This window comes from Homo sapiens, chromosome 4 (genome assembly GCF_000001405.40).
Source record: "Homo sapiens chromosome 4, GRCh38.p14 Primary Assembly".
Classification (NCBI taxonomy): Eukaryota; Metazoa; Chordata; class Mammalia; order Primates; family Hominidae; genus Homo; species Homo sapiens.
The window spans coordinates 114,643,598-114,665,156 of NC_000004.12; the positions used below are offsets into that span (position 1 = coordinate 114,643,598).

General features: G+C 35.5%; 1 protein-coding gene and 1 non-coding gene across 10 annotated transcripts in view; both read left to right on the plus strand.

Annotated features, from left to right (window-relative positions):
- UGT8 (UDP glycosyltransferase 8) overlaps nt 1-21,559 on the plus strand; it is a 79,824-nt gene that overhangs the window by 45,196 nt on the left and 13,069 nt on the right. For all 9 annotated transcript variants that reach the window (XM_047416134.1, NM_001322113.2, NM_001322112.2 and 6 more), the window contains one exon: nt 20,398-20,540. In XM_047416134.1, the coding sequence (XP_047272090.1) occupies nt 20,398-20,540 (143 nt within the window). The remainder of the gene's footprint in view (nt 1-20,397; nt 20,541-21,559) is intronic.
- On the plus strand, nt 13,162-13,257 carry MIR577 (microRNA 577). The gene has a single exon (NR_030303.1). It is a non-coding gene; the product is annotated as a microRNA 577 (primary transcript).

Sequence of the window (21,559 nt, forward strand, 5' to 3'; positions counted from 1 at the left end):
TGCTGAGCACAGTATGTATTTGGCATTATGCACAGTAGGTACTCAGTGAATCTGTTGGACAAATAAATGCATTTGTAGTTTTTACATCAGTTTCTCAGGTGGTGGAAAAACTAAGACACTAAGCATATTACATAAGAGTTAGAGAAAGGGAATCACTTTGGCTAACATAGGCATTTTTTTTTTTAATATGCTATTTGGATCCCTTAAAAGCCACAACACATCAAACATGAAATACACATTTCTCAAACTCTCAATGCTTCTTTCTTTCTGGTTTCAAGAAATACTGGTGGTTCCTCCTTAGAAATGTCATCTATATTTTTCTGTTCCATTTTATTTCTACTCCCATTTTCTGCAAATTGCTGTGACCTCGCGTGTGAACAATTGCAGCGCCTACTACCCTGTTTTCCAGGCTTTACCCTTCAGCCATGGTGCCTTTCTTCTCTGAATCTAATCTACACTGAAAACAGTGACTGAATAATCTGCAAATAACACAGCACTTGTTATGCCATTTCTCTCTTGAGAAATAGTTCTTTTGGGGCCCCATGTGTAAATGATGATAAACACAGCCTGAATTCCCTCTCAAAGTTTCCTTATATTTTTCAAACCTTGAAGATGGTTAGGAAGTCTGTCTGTGAATTGCATGTGTAGAGTGCTATAATTAATTATAGCAGAAGAAGCTGAAAGTAGGTTTAAGGAGCTAATAACCAGATTAGGAATATCTGATGCTGGCAGTCAGACCTACCTGTTCATTGGTATCCTTCTCATTTTATGCCTCACAGTTATTCACTTCAGGTAAACTGATCTGTTTCCCATTTTTAACATCACTTCATTTGGAAGGCTTCCTGGACCCTTTGATGTTTTTATCTGAATCCCATAACCTATTTTAGCATATCACATTGAAATGCAATGATTCTTTTACTCACCTTTCCCTGCTTGGACTGTGATGAGTTCTTGGCCCCTCATTTGGACCTCTTGAGGTAGGCACTCATTGTCTCCCTGAGGCTGGTATATTATAGTCCTTTCATAATCATAAACTGAATGGATGAATTGATACAATTTATAATTTGTGATCTATGCCTTTCAAGCCTTTTGCTGCCTAAAATGTTCTATCCCTTGCTTTATGCCTATTAAAATCACACCTATCCTTCCTCTCTTTCAGTTAATGCTTATTGAGTGCCTCATATCTGCAGGGTGTGTTGAGCATGGAGTTGTCAACATACATCTCTGCATGGTCCCTCTACAGCTGAAAGTGGCCCACTTGCCTCTTAAGTTATCATTCTTAGGCACTACTTTCACATGTAGTTATACATTCAAATCTTTATGTCTTAATATTCCTAATCTGGTTATTAGCTCCTTAAAGCTACTTTCAGCTTCTTCTACTATAATTAATTCTGCTATATTCTTCTACTATAATTAATTATAACACTCTACACATGCAGTTCACAGACAGACTTCCTAACCATCTTCAAGGTTTGGAAAATATAAGGAAACTTTGAGGGGGAATTCAGGCTGTGTTTATGTTGAAGAACATTCAATGAGCAAAAAAATTAACAAATCCAAATATTGGTTAAAAGTTGTTAGCAAGCCATGGGAACGTGAATGAGGATAAGCATCAAGAGTTTCACTACCAAGTTCTCTTTAAAACAATCCCAGTGGTGATTGGTTGGTGAGTGCTTACCATGAAGAAGTGTAGTGTTGAGTTCTTTACATGTACTATTTCATTTTATCCTCATGATATCCTATGAGGTGTAAGAAGTATTGACAACCCCATTTTCCTTATCAGGTAAGAGAAGATGAGTAATATCATTCAAGTCGCATAGCGAGATATCAAGCTCAGGTCTTTTTGAATGCCTGTATTTCTAACCACTGTTTTTGGACACTATAGAGTTAATTTTTTTTCATCACGCCATATTACACATAATATTTTTTTGTGCTTCTATATCACATTGTTAGAAAAATACCACAAATGGTAACTGTGTACTAACATTTCTAATATTTTATACAAGATGAAAAGAGAAATAGAGACAAGAAGGAAAATTCTCTTATGGTCATCATAGAAAAACCTGCTTATACTAAAGAAGTAGTCATCGAATATATACCAATGACCTTAAGTTGACATGTCATCTGGGAAAAGACAATTTCACAAAGGTAGATTTGTTAGATTTGTGCCTTGATATGATACACATGTATGGCTTCTATTTATCTGAGTTGTATAGGGATAGATTAGTGAAATAGGTAGATTTTACACATTTCAGGACTCTGTTGATTTAGCAAATGTTTACTGAGTGCATACTGTGAGATAGAGCTTGTCTAGGTTGAAGGGACAGAAGAGAGAATGAAACAATAATGTACATTTTTAAGCAGGAAGTCAGATGTAAGCAATTAAATAGATAACTGCACAGAGACGGAATATCTTTTTCCATATTATGTAGTATATGTAATAAGAAGTATTGCAGAGTATCTATTTATTGATCTTTCAAAGTGAATTAGCTCAGGAGATATACTTAGATATACTGTTTTGCAAGATTTATGTCTGATATGATACTTAAAGAAGAACTTCCACAGGATTGATTAGTGACAAAATAAAAGTGCCTTTCAGGGAAAAAATTCTAGTTTGTTTTCATTGCCAATTAAAAGAACCCCGAATCAGATATCTTTATTTGAACAAAAGAGCAACATAAACTATTTGTTTGAAATTCAATGTGAAAAAAGCTGCTAATTTAAGGTATATCAGATGAACATTATATATATATATCTGTATATACATACATATATCTATATCTATATCTATATATATATGCATAATAAAACACTTCAGCCTTAATGTCATAGAAACAATGTGATAAACAGTGAAGTTGTCATCATTATGATAATAATCATCAAGAGTATCATGGGCATAATTTCTGTTTTAATGAAAAAAATTATTTTCCAAAAGTAGCATTTCACTACTGGGGTTTCACAGGAGAATTAAGCCCTGCAGAAAGACACACAGATAGTACCATTTCCAGATGCATTCAAGAGAAGTTAATTCATTGTACACAATGGACACCTTGGATAGGGCATTAGTTCTAATTCTCTCACAAAACCAGAGATGAGAAAGCAAATTGGCAAGTCTCTTGAAATAGATTTCCATGCTATGTGATGCTAATAATTCATGATTATGATGTAGTGTTTTTTGATATGCCTAGAAATGACAATATTTTTTGTTTCAATTTGGTCAAATTGTTGAGGCCACTGCCACGTTCATGTTGGAGTCATAGTCCTGCAGAAATGCACTTCCACAATCACTGGGGACAGGCTTTTGTGAAGTTTCAGAGATTGAGACAGAGCTAAATCTTTTGGAATTCAGAAACATGACTATTGATCTAGGGAAAGAAGCATGTTTCCGTCACTCGGATTTAGTCTGAACTCTTCATTCTAAAGCAGTTTGATTCTGTTTGTAGAAGTATACACAACTAGAAACAGATTGACAATTTCAGTGGTAAATAATTTATTCTTTTTAGAAAGTCATATTGACACCTGTAGAGATTTTATAAAATATATCAATTATAACTTTAATTTGTAAGTAGTCTCCAGTAGTATTGCCTGAGATGTTATAAAAGATGTCAACTGCTTCCTTCCTGAGGATCTATAGTAATAATTTGTGATTTTCTTTTATGTCATTACTTACAATGACAGTTAAATAATAACAACCAATGCTCGTTGAATGCTTTTATATACCAGTTACCATTCTAAACAATTTACATGAATTAGCTCTTTTGTGTGTGTGTGTGTGTGTGTGTGTGTGTGTGTGTGTCTCACTCTGTCACCCAGGCTGGAGTGCAGTGGCGCTATCTCAGCTCACTGCAGCCTCAGTCTCCCAGGTTCAAACGATTCTCCTGCCTCAGCCTCCTGAGTAGCTGGGACTACTCAGCTGCCACCATGCCCAGCTAATTTTTTTGTATTTTTAGTAGAGGCGGGGTTTCACCACATTGGCCAGACTGGTCTCGAACTCTTGATCTCAAATGATCAGTCCACCTCAGTCTCCCAAAGTGTTGGGATTACAGGCATGAGCCACCAGAATTAGCTCTTTCAAGCCTCATAATATCCCTAGAAGGTAAGGACTGCTTGTATCTCCATTTTCAGATTAGGAGCATGAGGTCCAAGGAGGCTAAGTGACTCTAGGGTACTGGAATTTGCAAAGATTACACAGCCAGTGAGGGGCAGAAGACAGAATTTGAACTCAGGCTGCTGGCTCTTAGGCATCACCTTGCCTCTGTCCCTTATATCCTCTTATTGCTTTGTCCTTGTTCTTGACGGTTAATTGACATAACTGTGGAAGAAATTTTGTGAACATAGATAGATATTCCAATTCATGGACAATGTCATGTTCTTGCTTATTTTTATGTTTAGTGGATGTCAGTTCGGTGCACTGTTTGCCAGAGAGATTTTCTTATTTCCTGAAGACTCTAAAATCCACTTAATTCAGCCTGCCTTCTGAGGTCCTTTGCCTAGTTGACTTTTCATATATAATAAAAGATTCCTTGTTTTGATTCCCTTTATTTCTCTTCATTGTATAGGATAGAATGCCATTCCAACATATTTCAGCTTACTCAGAGCAGATCAGTATGTGATAACATTTATGTGCTTTATTAATACTCAAAAGCATATGAGAAATGAGCAGTATGCACTTCTTGCCTGTGGTGAGGAAGGAGGGGTTGTAAATGCTGTGAGCATGAGCATGTATGTTCAGTAGTATCATTAATATGTGATCTCAGACACACAGAAAATCTGGTTTTTTTTTTTTTTTTTTTTTAGTCAAATCGGATTCAGGATACTTAATGAATGGTATTTAGGCTGTATTGTAATAGTTTTGGGAAAGGCATTATTTTTTAAATCTTGCCATTATGGCACAAAAATGAGACTTCAGGTATATATAATTTATTTCAATTTTGTCATGGATTATAATTAAATAAGAATATATTTATGAGGAACAAGCTGTTGACATGTTTTTAAAACTTCAGTTGCAGAGCTTAGGGTAGATTAATGCCTATGCAATAAAACAAATTCTTTTAAAGGAAAGAAAAGAATGACCAGCAACTACAAAGTGTTTACCAGTTGCGAAATTGGTTAAGATTTCTTTATGTATATCATTGTTTGTCCCTTCAAATATATGGCATAAGGGAAGAAAAAGAAATGTAACTTTGGGGAATATAATATAAAGTAATTTCTTACCATTGAGCAAATTTGTAAAAACATATGAATTGCTTCAATTTATTAACTTTATCCTTCTGAGGAACTTTAAATAGCCTAGATTATTTCACAGAGTATAATAAGGCCATGCTAATATTTTAGGATGGAGGGCACTGGACTAGAACATAGAACTGGAGCTTAATTCTAACTCTGCTTCTGATTACCTCCTAGCAGTTAATATCTTTCTTCAGTTTCTTCAGCTGGAAAATAAATTACTAACGCAATATGATTTTAGCTTTTCTTTAAAATTAACGATGCTGGGGATAATATTGGATAGCATATTGGATATGTAATTTCTGATCCCTAGGGTACTAGAGGTTGCCAATGTAGTGTGGGTAGAGTATTCTAGTTTTAAAGCAACTCAAATGACACAGAGATTAGTATTATACTAATAATTTACATTGCAGTCCTTCTCAAACCTGCACACCACAGAGGAATCAGTTTGCCTATTTGAGTGATACTGGCCTAGCCATATTTACAGTCAATCAGAAGCGTGAACATTTATTGATTTATTTGAAGTCTCCTGTTTTGTATTCTTCTTTGTGGTTGCGTCAATTAAGATTATGTTTTAACACACATAATTGAAAAAAATTAAGTAGCTATACACAGTGGAAGTTTATTTTTGTGTCACATAAAGGAAGTTCTGAGATAAGCAGTCCAGGGTGGTATGACAATGCTGAGAATCAGTAGGGACCCAAGCTGCTTCAACACTCTGCTCTACCATCCTCCTGTGCAACCCTCAACCCCACGGTCAAGATGGCTGCTTGGCTGCTGCATTCTGGCCATCAAATGGTGCATTTTTGTTACATCTCATTGACCAGAACATTGGCTAGCTATGTGTCCACACTTACGTTCAGCTAAGACTAGAAAATGTAGTCTTTAGCTGGGCTGCAGTATGCCCGGCTAAAAGTTGGAAGTTGTTACTAAGGAAGTGGAGGAAGTGTCTTCCACAATGATCTACCTATGTTTGTTTTCTTATTTTAAAAAAAAACCCTTAAACTTTATGAATTAAAATTAAAATTTCATCTTATGTCTTTTATAGTATTAACTCCTTGGTACACTTTTGTGTTTTTTCACTTTGAGAAGTACTGATTTTTATGTGATTATTTAAATTCAATAAACACTGATATAAAATTATATGTGAGCTGCTAATTAAAAGCAGCAATGTTTTGGATCAGTGGGTTTTTTAACCACTTTCATTGGTATGCAGAGATTTTACCCACCCTGAGCTCACATGGCGATTCTGCAATTGCCCTGAGGACTTGAAGTGTATTAGGATCATTGATTCTCCTCTCTTCAGGTGCTAAATCTTTTGGGGTGACTCCAGCTGTGTAGTCACATTTGTTGCCTTTGGAGTTGCATTATTTCAGAATGCCTGGCAATTGGCTTGCCTTGGAGACCTTTTCCAAGCATCTTATCTGCATGTTATCTTCCTGGAACCTTTTGCAAATAGCACTTATTAAAGAATTTTTCCACATTTGTATCTATTTAACCCATTTATGCCGGAGGTTGCAATTTTTTGAATTTTTGCATGATTGGAAAATCAGAACTTGGTGATGACTTGAGCAGTAGGATATAAATAACTCCCACATGCATAGCATTCCAATAATGGAACACTAGCCATAAGTGGGTGTGAGCTATTTTTTAAAGCCTCATATCTTTTGAAGCAGTCTATTACTGCAACTAACAAATATATTAAAGTTGATTTGTCAATTTTTATTTAAAGTATAATATATGTATTCTTATATTTTATGAGATACTTAGTCCAATATCATGACTACGATTTCCCATTCCTTAGAAAGAATTGTTTTCCTGGGGATGTTTCTGACTTTTGGTCATTGGTTTTTAATCTATTTTGTGGCATATTCAGTTTGTCACAATCAGTCTTCAGGTTACAGGAATCCAGAAGAACTCATAAATTCAGGGCTTTGTTTAAAAACAACAACAACAAAACAAAACAAAAACAAAACTTTTGCGCCTACTCTTTCACTGATATATTTCTTTCTTGCTTTTTCATACAAAGGTTTTGATTCTGCAGATATGCAAGTTTTTTTCTATCCTGCAACACCTTTTTTTTTTCATAGAACATGTCATTTCCGTTGCCCAAAACATCCTTTTTCATCCTGCCATTTCCTGTCTCTGATATAGACTTTCCTACCTGAAACTCACCTTTTCAGAAACTCCTTACTTGATTGATCCTGGAAAGATCTTATCTCTACTTTACTTAACATTCCTTCTGTACTTGTGTTCTCCAATTGCCTAATCTTAGACTCAGGTTTTTAGAACTTGACAAGATATTTGAGACCTTTGCCAGCATAGTTTTTCCTTGTAGCTGTTAACTTAGCGGGGAAAAATTACTTCCTCATTTTTTTCAATTTTCATTCTATTGAGTAGTGTCTCTTACCAATTTTCCTGTGAAGTTACATAGTAAAATAAAGTACACCAAGAAAATATGCAGTTTGACTTGAAAAGACTTGACAAGTTACGATTGGCTCTTTCCATTTTTCCACAATTGGGAATACTTCAAGTGTTCTTTTCTAGTAAGCATTACTTAAGCTTTTTTCTTTATACATGTTTCTCTTTTATAAATGTAGAAGTCTCACATGTCATTTTAATTTTATGTGAAATTTAAGGCAATTTCAAGATTAAAAGCAAGAACAAACTAGTTTTCCATATATACACCACTTCTGCCTTCTTGCTGAAATACACTGATAAGGGTTTTCCTCCTGCCCTCTCTGTTACAAACATATCTTAGATTCATAAGCTCTTTAACATGCTCACTGTTAAGCATATGCAGAGAATCTGTCATTCTCTGACACCCAGGATTAGAAGTAGAGAATATTAATTTGTGGTACCCAGGACCTTAAGTTATCTTCCAGAAGTCTTTTGAAGTAATCATTAATCCAAAATATACCTGAAATACTGAAGTGTAACTTTATCCTAAATTATCATGTATAACAATAACATTTTGGGAAAATGTGCATAGATTTCTGAAAAGATTTACAAATGAGTTATTGGAATAAACTCTTATGAGTTGATGGATTTTTTATGGATTTGATTTAGCAAACAATGAAAATTATAAGCTATCAGATGACTATTGAGTGTACACAAATTATGGGGAATACACTATTTGGGATGCCTTGAAATTAAAGGAATTTATAGTCTGCAAAAAAAAAATGACATATGTATACAAATAATTTTATCACACGTTCAAATATGAACAGAACCAAAGAAGCTATAAAGTACTCTCAAAGAAGATAAATTCTTAAATTTGGCATAATTAGACATGAATTGATATAGTAAGTGACATTTCAACTGACCTGGAAGGATCTGTTGAAGTTAGCATTTGAGCTGAGCTTGAAGGACCTGTTGAATTTCAATAGATGGAAGTACTTCTAACAAAGGAAATCAGAGAGAGTAAAGTCACCAGAGTGGTCAGGGATGGGATAAGCTAAGGGAATGTAGAACCATGTAGTGTTGATCAAAGGAGGAAGTAAGAAACAGAAGGACCTTGGATGTCAGCTGGTAGTTGGACCAATGAAAATTTCAAGATTTTTCTCATGGGTATTTTTTTTTTTTTTAAGTAACTAGTGTAGAGAACTTGAGCATTGGCATTGAGTGGAGAGTATTTTAATAGGTCTTTTAAAATAAACTGGTTGGCATTGGGAAGTGCACTTTTATGATGGGTCTAGGAGTTAAGATAAAAAGAAATTGGTGAGAAAGTACATTTTGGGCTGCTTATTCAAAGACATACCTCTATTACAGACTTCTCTGTGAGCATAGTGATAAATTGTATTAATGGAAAAAAGTCATGGTATTGAAGGATTAGAAGAGCACATAAATCCAAATTTTAGTTCCACAGAATTGGCTGTATAGAATATAATGAGATGAAAGAGTGCTCTTGGCAGGTCAGTTCCTTTAGGGGAGGCTGAGGGTCATAGCAACCCCAAATAGCTATGTTTGATAACTGATGTTTATTCTAACGTTGGAGTCTTTGCTGGGTCCAGTTAGGATTTTTATCTTATTCTGATCTCATTGTTTATGCAGGAAAAGAATAAGATATATTTTTAAATTGTTTTTATGTAAGGTAGTACATGGAAGAGTACACAGTCTAGAAGGCACTGTATCATGGCTCTACATGTTTCTGCCCAAGGTACAAAATCTTTCCTTGAGATGACCAAGCCACTCATCCCAGGATTAATGTACCATTGCCCATACCGTTCTGGATCGTTGACTTTGTTGCAAACGAGTTTACTTCCTGAATAGTTGTAGAAATAGATTATGAAAAGTGGGGAGTGAGATGAAGGAGAAAGGGTGATCAAGTTCCTAGTTTTCTAGTCTATATAATCACTTACCCCATAAAAGTTAAAGACTTCTCTTCCCTTGAACATATATGCTATTCATGCTCATAAGATAGAAACACTAGAGCTAATGAAAATATCCATGACGTTATAGTCGTAGAATATGACCTTATTGCATATTGTGGCCTTTGCCTAGCTTTATACATACTACACTAGGCATTTAAGAGAAGCTGACTCAAGTATACTTTGATATTGTCATTGACCTGGAAGGATCTATTTGAGTGATTTACCCTGGAAATTATGTGAATTTGACCTGTTTTAGCCAAGTCCTGCACTTACTGTCTTTCTCTATATAGATGTATAATCTAGAAATGCTAAATATCAGTATTACATTAGAAAAAGAGAAATTTTCTTTAAGAAGGGATTCTTTAGTTGCCAATGAATTTTTGACATATAATTTAACTGATTATAAATGTATTTCTAATTGGTTTGGAAATGTTGGTGTGCAACCTTTAATTGCCTGTCACTAAACTGTTCCTTTAGAAATTCAACTCTGAAATCAAGAGAAAACTGGGCTACAATTTACAGAGATTTAATATAAGTGCATTTTTGGAAAATTTATTATTTATTTTTAGGCTCTTTATTTCCCCAGTCTTCAGGGAGGAAGTAGGGCAGAGGCAGTATTAATGTGCTGTTAATGAAGCTCATGAATCTGAAATGGACTATGAACTTCTGAGGAGGAAACCATATCTTGCTCTCTTATATTCCTGACACCTGGTGCCTGGCACATAGAAGGTGACCAGCAAAAGTTTGTTAACTGATATTGAATTATTGATGAAATGAATATGCATGCAGGTTAAACAAGATCTGCACTGCGCTCTGTCTTTGTTGGTAATATCAGTGGACTTCAAAAGGGAATATAGCTACCAGAATTATTTTGGAAATTAATTTGGAAATGTAGTAAGTATTACATTTTCTTTGCTGGAGTATTAATGAAGACCATAGGTTAATGGATTAGAAGTAGGTTATTTGGTATTATTGGCCTCAACTTTATCCACTCTCGTATTTTCTTAGAAGAGATAACTTAATGTGTTTAAAGTCACAAAGTAGGTATTCAGTGACTGTTGGTTATGTTCTATTCTCCCTGATCTTTATGAGAAAAAAAAAATGTTAGGGACCTCATGTGGATCTCTTAGTGCTGTTTTTCAGATTCCATTTATGACTCTTGAGAAAGAAACCAAATGAAGATGCATTAGAGACATTTCAGCCCCTAGAGCTGCAAAATCTACCCTAGTAACGTTTAAGCAACCACCTATTATACCTATAGTTGAGGAATTCAGACAGAATAGCAGGAACAACTTTTCTGTGCTCTATACTGTCTGGGGAATCAGCTAGAACACTTGAGAGCTAGAGGCTGGAATCATCCTCAGGCTTGTTCAGTCTCATGTTTGACAGTTAAAATTAGCTGTTGGCTGAGACTTTAGTTGAGCTAGTAGCTACAACACCTTCCCTTGTCTTCATGTTGCCTTCTTTACTGATATGGCATAGTGTTTGGAAAAGAAGGGTGCATTTTGCAAGAGAGAGAGAAGTAGGTGTCAAGTGTATCTTTTGTTATCTAACCTTAGAACTCACATAGGATTACTTCTTCTGTAATCAGTTGACCAGAGAAGTCACGAGTCAGCCAAAGCTTACCTGCCCAAGTTTATACAGTGTGGACGTAGCACCTCTTGATGGGGACTTTCTGAAAACACATGTGGGACTGGAAATACTAATTTAGCTGTTTATGGGAACATACAGTCTGCCACACAATATAATTCCTATGTCTTTTGCAATGGCTTTATAATTTTCAAGTATGACTGATAACTTATATTTCCCTACATTGTTTTTACAAAATAGACCACTTACCAATTCCCGGTACCTAGTTTTTTGTTTTTTGTTTTTTTTTTTGTAAAGTAATTTGCAGCTTATTATGTTATTTAGATGCTGAAATTGATGGAGGGAAGTTTAAATTTAAAAATAAAAATCGATTATCTAGATTTTTCCACAATAAACTTTTATTTATTTAGTTTGCATCATCCAGAATCCTGGGATATTTGTTTTTGTTTGTTTTGTGTGTTTTTTCTCTAAAACAGTTTATTTGGGAATAGCAAGGGTCTGCAATGCTGGATATGCATGCCATTGCAGACCATGGATGCATCTGTGAGGGGTTTGGAGTAAGGGGAAGCTTTTAGAGACAAAAAGAAGTCCACATAAGTTGTTTTGAAACAAAGATTATTGGTTACAGGGGCTTATTCTAGGTGGTGGTGTTTGTTACTTGGTGGTAATGCTTGTTGATAGTAAACCATGTTTCTCATGTGGAATTGTTAAATTGAAAGCTGTCTTTTTTTATTTAATTTTTCTTTTGTAATATAACAATCCCCAACTACATTATTTTTAAAACAATATTAAGTCTGCAGGAAATTTGCAAACTCAGTTCAAAGTTATTTTTTTTACCAGAACCATCTGACAATAAGATTTCTATATGATACCCTGTCACCCTCCAAAACATTGATATATATTTTGTGCACATGAGGGCATTTTTCTGCATAATCACAATACAAACCATAAAAATAAGGAAATTAACAATGATATATTACTACCATCTAAGTTTTACACCTCAATGAAGTTTTGTGAGAGCCACTAATAATGTCCTTAATAAGGAAAGGATCCAGTTCAGAATTATCAGTGGCCTTTATTTGCTATGTCTTTAGGCTCCTTCTTGAACACTTACTCAGTGTTTCTTAGATTCTCATTGTTTTGATGTTGTTGAAGGATATCGGCCTGTTGTATAGAATGTCCCTCAATTTGGGTTTATCATTTGTTCCTCATAATTGGATTCAGGTTTTGCATCCTTACAGGAATATCACAGAAGGGATGCTATATTCTGCATGTTGCATCTGATTAGGTGGTACGTGATTTTGACTTGCTTCATTATTGATGATGTCCACTTTAATCGTTTGATTAAGGTGTTACTTACAAGACTTCTTTGCTGTCACATTACTAATTTTACTTGGTAGTCAGAATTGGAAGCTATGTAAATATTTCTCATCAGTCTCTGTGTCTTTATGGCATAATACTGATTATCATGAAAAAAATTGAGTGTTTTCTTTTTGTTTTTGTTTTTTTTTCTGGAAAGAAAGGAGGCAGACAGATTAGCTAGCAAGACTGCCTTTCTTTTGTTTATGTAGGTCACATAATTTAGTAGCTAAGCTTGATTTTTGAAAGGAGACATTTCTTTAAAGTGCTCAATAATTTGTTTAAAGTTCTAGGGAAACGACAGTGTTATTTATCCTGTTAACTGAATGGCAAAATAAAGCAGTGTACTTGCTGTTTATCCTTTCAAAGACTTAGATTACTATTAGCTTTCTTGATTTATTAAAAGAAATAAGTATTGAGCACCTACTGCATCTTACACCTAGGAGAAGAAAAGTCTTGTGAATAAACTCACATGCTACAAGAAGTGTGGTAGGTGCCCTGTTGAAAGAACAGGTCTCACAGGGGAGAACAATAGAGGAGATACTTTGTTGTGATCTTGGTAAATAACTGTGACCTGAGGGGGAAGTTTCAGGCACCCAAGGCAGGCTGTATTTGGGGGAGTGAAGAGTAGATAAAATATTGGTACCTGATGAATCTGAGGCCAGGTTTCAATACTTTATCTGCTCTTCATTTCCCCATATCTACTTACTGTAGGTACGGCCTCATTAAAAAATATAAACTCTCTGAAGACAGAACATTTTGTTTATTTATTCTTTGATATGTCCCAAGTGTCAGATATGGTACATAGCAGCTGGTCATGGCTATCAAATAATCATTTATCAAATAGTGACCCAGAAATTAGGTGGGTTTCCAAGTCCATTAATCAAATTTCTTTTGTAACGTAAGAAAGATTTAGATATCATTTCCGTAGTGATTTTTTTTTTCTGGTGAGAGTTTCACCTCCGTTTATTATTTTTGTCCTTTTTTTCTATCTCGTGGTTACTTTCCATATCTCCTCAGTACCTTGCCATCATCATATCCTCGGGATGTCCCTGCTGCTTGTGTTCAGTTCCTTGAAGGTCTTAAGAACCTTGAAAATTTAACTTTTCAAAGTCAAATCAGGGTTTCAAATTTTGCTTACTTATTTTAATTGTAACTGTACTGGCAAAATTAATCAAGCTCACAATGAAGAAAAACCGATACTGCAGAATCTCAGTGGAAATGAATACACCCTTCTGGGTGCTTATTTCATTCTCCTGAACTTTCACTGTGTTGAAGGCATCTTTTGAGATTTTAAAAATAGAACCATTGCCTTGACATTGATCTCTCTATTGCTTCTGTAGCGTAATTGTAGTTTATACCCTTCTAGATGATCTGGGAAATCATTTGAGTTTTCTGAAAAACTGAAAACTAGATTTGATGCTGCATGTGAACATTTTTGGTACTACTTTTCATTTATGTATTTTAAACAACTTTATTCTGAAAAGTCCAAAACATAGTGAACAAATACAACTGAGAGAAAATATCTTGGTGCAGAATGACCTTTTTTTTTTTCCTTTTCTCAATGTGGATATCATTTCAGTCCATAATCTGTGTATTACTTATCAGATATCATGGCCAGGGAAGAGAACAGCATAATTTTTAGTTGACAAAGCACTTTTATATATTTAATCTCATTTAATCTCTGCAGTGTGCTTGTAAAGTATCGTAAGTGTTTTTAGAGATGAGGAAGCTGGGCCTCAGAGAGAATAGGTGGCATCATTAAGATCATACAGCAAATTGTGGAATTGGGGTTTGAAGCAAGCCTCTTGCCAAACAAATCAGTGAAAACAATGATTGGTGCATTTTTATTTTGAATGGTGACCTTTATATTTTCAGTGTTGTTTGTTGTTGTTGTTTAATAAGTCTTGGTTAACTATATTAGCAGTAGTCAGAGATCACATTTGATATCCCAAGATTTTTTTAAGAGCATTTGCTATCAAAATGTTCACTATCATTTTACCTACTAAATTTTGCAGAATGAAATTCTTTGCAACCCACCTGACCAAAGCAGAGCATTCTTTGTATCAGAAATATTAAATGGGAAAAGAGGCCTATTGATGTTGGTGTTGGGAATAAGAAAAGGAACTCCAACACCCACCCCCCTCATCTCCCATTATCATCTCTGTGTAGGATTCTCTCACAGTCCAGGCATTCTTTTCCTCAGAATGGATGGGGCCAACAAAGGATGCAGTGTTATAGGTTTCTCTACTGTGCTGGCCCCTTCTCAAGGCTCCCATTCTTGGAGGAGAGAAAAGAGTGGGTTTGGGTTGCAGGCTGGTATCAGGAGAGATCTGGAGTGCAAACATGACAGCCTAGTGTGTCCCCACACCTCAGACCTGTTATCCTCTCTAGAGGTCTAAAAGACTCTGATGTCCTCAGAATCCAGGATAGCAAGGATGGAGGTGGGCTTGCACCGTTCAACTTTTAATTATACTTGCACTGTTTCTGAAGCTCATTTTTTAAGAAGCTACTTACAATTTTCTTGCATTGGGATGTGTTTTACATTGGCCACAATGAATAAAAAAAAATTGTTTATTTTCGGATAGGGGGATGAGTATATTTTTAAGAAGGCATTACCCAATGAGTGTCTTCTTTAAAAGTTTCAAGATCTTGCTTTCCACTTCTTTGAATATTTTTTCACCATCTTCCATTGTTTGACATCCCTAATATCAAAACATTACCTGAAAATAATGAAAATTTTATACTTTGGGAGTAGTTGCTCCCCGAGTCTGACTCTGGTACATTGCTTAGCTTCTGTTCTGCCCCATCTCCAGCCTCACAGAGCCAGGCTGCTTTACCGGCTTAAGCTGGACAGTACCACATGGAGGGACATGGGAGGACAACAAGCCCCTCACTACATTCTTCCTGTGGTCCAGTCAAGGCATTTGGTATATAATTACTCTAGGATAAGAAATCTGGCAATACTAGAAACAAATCAGTGTCTATCCGGATCACGATCATTAAAATAAATGCAAATACTTAACATATAGCATCTGATTATAGGAAATAGAATGTATATTATCCATATTTCCTTATTATGCTACCTTTTCCCATAAAAGACTTCAAACAGATGACTTAATCCTACAAGAAGATAAAATGATTATTTTTATTGTAAGGTTGTCTTTTCAAAAGACATAGAAAATTACTTTATAGCTATAAACAAAATTACTTTATAGATATCTGTTACTTAAGTTGCATAGGAATGGAATTATTCATTCTGATATAGTGAGGGGAGTGCCTATGAGTGTTGCTGATTTCTGGTTCAGTATTTGGTCCCTTATTGTGATCATTTTCTTTTCAATTTGAAGATGTCAGTTTTTCCCCTATACCCATAGAAGTAGTCCGGGATTGGGCATGTAAGCAGGTTGAGCCCAGATGTCGCTCCATTCCTGTCCTGCCATCTAGTGGAGAAATGTGCATGCAGTGCTGGTCTACGTACAAGACGATGCAATTTCTAAATTCCTGTATTGAGTGAAATGGAAGGCTTATTCTGTACCTTATCCACAAATATTCATAACTTACTTAAGAAGTAGTAGTACTGGTAGTAAATGGCCATTGATGAGTTACCAAAAAAGATGGGTCCTTAAAAATATGCTAAGTATAAGAGTAACAGAATCCCCAAAATGAAAAGTAATAAAATCTAACATTGCAAATATAAAAATGTAAAATAAAACTCTTTGGTATTGGCACAGAGATGGATAGATCATTGGAACAGAATAGAATTCAGAAACAGACTGTGAGGGTGGCATTTCAAATAATTGAGATGATGAGATATTAAATAACTAATGTTGACAAGACTGGCTAACCATTTGGTTAAAAATAAAGATGGATGTCACTGTTACTCTTTCCTTCAGAATAAATTCTCATTGGATAAAAGATTAAAACATTAAAGAAATGATGCTGTAAAATTATGAAAAGAAAATATGGACCATTTCAAAGATAATCTTGAAGTGAGAAAAGCTTGCTAATAACAGTAAACCCAGAGGCCATTTAAAAAAAGACATTTATCCTTCCAGCAAACAAACAAAAACAGTTATAAGAAAATTACAAAAAAATAATATCTAAAGGGTAAATTCTAGGTTCTATTCTTTAAAATGAATTAAATATTAATGAAATATTAAATATCGACAGAGTCGATATAGACAATATGAAAACAGACTATATAGACAATATGAAAACAATTTGAATTTGTTTCTCTGATTATTCATGTGAAACAAAGGTTCTTTTCATGTTTATGCCATTAAGTTGTCTTCTGTGAATTGGGTGCTTTCTGGTTTTCTGGTGGTGTTTGTGGTTTTATTCCCCCTATTTTATTTTAGTGTTAATCCTTTATTATGTGTATTGTAATATTTCTGCCAGTCTATTAATTATTTTGTTGATTTTTAAAATGTCTTTTTAAAATTATAATTCAGTTTAACTTTTAGGCTGGGCGTGGTGGCTTGTGCTTGTAATCACAGCACTTTGGGAGGCCAAGACGGGCAGATCACGAGGTCAGGAGATCAAGACCATCCTGGCTAACACGGTGAAACCCCATCTCTAGTAAAAATACAAAAAATTAGCCGGGCGTAGTGGGGGCACCTGTAGTCCCAGCTACTCGGGAGGCTGAGCCAGGAGAAAGGCGTGAACCCAGGAGGTGGAGCCTGCAGTAAGCCGAGATCGCACCACTGCACTCCAGCCTGGGTGACTGAGCGAGACTCTGTCTCAAAAAAAAAAAAAAAAAAAATTATAATTCAATTTAACTTTTAATCGCTCTTTGACTTCTACTAGCGGAGGGATAGAACCTCATATTTTTTTCTTCAATCAGTAGCTGATTGTCTCTGTCATCATGTTCCATTGTCCCCATTTATTCAGATTTCCTTCCTTCTTTGTCCTTTAGAAAAGTTTTCATGTTTTCTTCATGTATATTTGGTATATTTGGTATATTTCTGTTAGGTTTATTTGTAGGTCTTTATGAATTTTGTTGCTATTATAAATGAATTATTTAGTCCAGTTTTAAAATTTGGTATTTGACCAGGAGCAGAAGATATTTGACCAGGAGTAGAAGTACTTTTACTTGTAAAAATGTTACATTTCTGGAGTTAGGATTTGTGTGTGTGTGCGTGTGTGTGTGTTGAACACATTTACCATGGAGTTTGTTTTCTAAGAGCTGTTATTAAATAAATTTGCTTTTTATAACTGGGTCTTAAATTCCAAAAAATCCTGTATGTTTATATATGGCTAAGATATCCTGAGGGCCTCCCAAACCACTGGACGATATCAGTATTCTTATCGTGAAGTTCCAATTTCAAAGTTTTGCCGTGAGTTCAGCAAATTTAAGATTGCTTCAACTTCTGGCTCTTGCATCTGTTCATGACTCCAGAACCACCTGCTTGTCAACCGAATCCAAAATCCAACCCCTTCAATGTTCTCATAAAGCATCCATCACACCAAATGTTCTGTGAATTTAGGCTGAAGATTAGAGATCATGGGGAGGGGTTACATTGAGGGACAGTAAGGCATCCACTTGCTCACTGTCTCTGCTCCAGCCTTTCATCTCTAACTCAGGAAATAGGAGTTTGCATGTCACCTTGGTTCCCACTCTTCCTTCTAAGCCAAGTGGAATAATATCTTCTAAAAGTACTGAGATTTTTTCCTGAAGGAAACATGATGAATATAATTTTTTCTACTCTTTCACGTATCAGTAAAGGCTATATATGGTGCTTACATACACCATGTGTATTCATATGATTTTACCGTGTAGCATTTATGTTTAAGTACATCTAACTTAGGACTGTACATAAAATTTTAAATCATTCTGCTCTTGTTTATTTCAATCTACGGATAACATTTAAATTTTCAGCATCTTACATATACTTGGTAAATGTAGCAGAATATAAAAGTTTTAATTCAAAATTGATATAGTCTCTATTTCTTTTATATACATATGTTCTTTGACTTACAGTGGGGTTCTGTCGTGATAAAACTATCATAAGTTGAAAATATTTTAAGTCAAAATGTGTTTAATACACCTAACATACCAACGTCATAGCCTAGCCTACCTGAAACGTACTCAGAACACTTCCATTAGCCTACACTTGGAGAAAATCATCTGCCAAGACAGTACACAGTTGTGTTTTGGCCATTCAACCTCATGATTACATTGCAGAGTAAGAGCTACAGCTCACTGTCACTGTCCCAGGCATGTGACAAGCCTTGGAAAAGATCAAAATGCAAAATTTGAAGTACAGTCTCTACTGAAGGAGTATCGCTTTCACAGCATCATAAAGTTGAAAAATCATAAGTCAAGGATTATCTGTATTTATAAATAGAGCTTCCTGGAAAATACAATGTTTTGGTAAGGTTTTCTTCCCTACCAGATAATGGTAGCCTATTTTACTTACTCAGTAGCTAGAAGGATGTACCTCCTTTCTGTCATCAGTCTCGGTCATGCAGTGACATTATTCGCTAATTTTTGAGAGACAAAATGTGGTCTCTCTGTCCCCTGCTGAGTACAATAGAGAAAGTTAATACAGATCTCTTTAGGTGATAAAATGAATAGAAAAGGGAAAAAGGGAAAGGAAGGAAAACTTAGGCTTAATGTTCCATTAAATACTTAATTAAGGGGTGCAGTGATGCCATTGTGACCATGCTTTTTTTTTTTTTTTTTTTTTTTTTTTGAGACAGAATCTCACTCTGTCGCCCAGGCTGGAGTGCAGTGGCACAGTCTTGGCTCATTGCAAGCTCCGCCTCCCAGGTTCTCCTGCCTCAGCCTCTCGAGTAGCTGGGACTACAGGTGCCCGCCACCATGCCCAGCTAATTTTTTTTTTTTTGTATTTTTAGCAGAGACGGGGTTTCACCATGTTAGCCAGGATAGTCTCCATCTCCTGACCTCATGATGCACCTGCCTTGGCCTCCCAAAGTGCTGGGATTACAGGCGTGAGCCACCATGCCTGGCCGTGATGATACTTCTTATTGTGCAGTACTCCTTAGCTACAAATCACGTTATGCTACAAAGTGGTGCCAAATGCAGAAGCATGGCTGACACAGGCATGGCAATAACTCTTCCTGAGCTAGAGACCTGCAGGGTCTATGAGATATAACTGTGGCAGCTCACTCTACACATTATGAACACAGAATGGGTCAGGCTTCTGCTTTCATGACTGCATTATGGCATAGGAGTCATCAATGCACAGCAAGTGTGTCATTCTTACAGTGGAATTAATGTGTTCCTCAACGTGCCGTGGCTCTATTTATTTTCCTATGGGAAACTGAAGCTGGGTGTCTTTGGCAAAGATTTATTCAAAAGGATGGCATCATTAAAAACAAGCTTGTGCCTATAGAACAAAATGAAGTAAGGATGGTATTTCTTAAAATGAACTGCTTTGATTTTCAACACAAATCAATCATACTGGCAAAAATTTGTAAATGATACATTAACAAATTTTTGCCAGTATGATTGATTTTTCATATGTTTAATCCACATCTTTTGTTTGTGTCTGCATACAAATTTTTTTCTGAACATGCATCAGTTGTCATTTCCAATTTTTGACCTTTTTCTGAGATTTTAAGCCTTTAGCAACTGATTTTTTAAGTTGTTTTTGTTACTTACAGATCTTACCAAATAAACCACATGTCCTCATTTCAGTTAGCATTATCAGATGAAATGTTGTAAACAAAAGCAGTTATTTAGAAGAAAATATCATATCCTTTACTTTCTAATTGTTTAAGAAAATTACTTAAAAGGTTTTTTTTTAACTGGGCTGTTAATAACACCAATTATAAACTACATTGGTCTTCGTAAAACTTACTGCCATGTTTTGATTTACAGGATCTCCAAAGATGGGTAAATGGTGCTAATGAACATGGCTTTGTCTTGGTGTCTTTTGGAGCTGGTGTCAAGTATCTGTCAGAAGACATTGCTAACAAACTGGCAGGAGCTCTGGGGAGATTGCCTCAAAAAGTGATTTGGAGGTAAGGTAATAATGTAGATTGTTTCTTTGCTATTGACAATCAATATCTCCTTGTTTAGTGCACAGGTCCCAGTAAAGCACAGCACATTGTTTCCCTGACAAGATTAGCAAGATGCCCTTGACTTTCATTTTGTTTCTTAGCTTGTTGAAATCTAGGAATTAATTCATAAGGCTCTATGATGGTTAAAGAAACCTCTGACCTATATAGCACAGAAAGAAGATATGATTCAGAATGACTTTTCCTTGTGTCAGATGCATACTTACATTTCCCTCAGAGTTCTACCCTCGTTTACTCTTTTATTATTTATTATGATTTTAAAAATTAGTTTTAATTGCATGCCTTTTTATATACTCCTTCAAATCAGTTTTGAAATGAGGAAGAAAATGATGGATTAACGAATACCTAAAATACCGTGGACTCTTTTGGGCTCCCACTTTGTCTCCTTTACATTATGTTTTTGATTTATTTTATTTAAGAAACCTGGCCTTTAAAAACACAATCACGTACCATTTAACACGGTTTAAGACAGAACCATAGATTGACCCCAGCTTCTTTTGGAAGGCATTGCCAGCACATGACTGTCTTTGGAATTTCCAGCCCAATGCTGAAAAATCAGACGTGAACACTTTATTTAGCGTGTATTTATTGAGCACGTACTACCACTGTTGAACTCTAGGGATACAACGTCGGTCCCATAGTTACTACCATGAGTGGAAGAAAGTGCCCCTTAAGCCATTGCAAGTAGGCTTTGAGTAATAGAGATTTTCCCTTTATAGCAAATGAGTAAGGATTAGCTCCCACTTCTCCTGGCTGAACTATGCAGTGATATTTATTTTATTCTAACTGTTCAGGACTTTTCCCTTCAGATTCGAGTCCCATTGGGTTTCCTCTGTTAGGCTTAACCCCAGAAAGTACCTCTTCTGCTTCATTTAGGACAGTTTATGTCTATTCCATTCAGACTCTTTTGTCACCCTCTTAGTTGTTAAGCATATTTCTGTTTTATCTTTTAAAGATCAGGC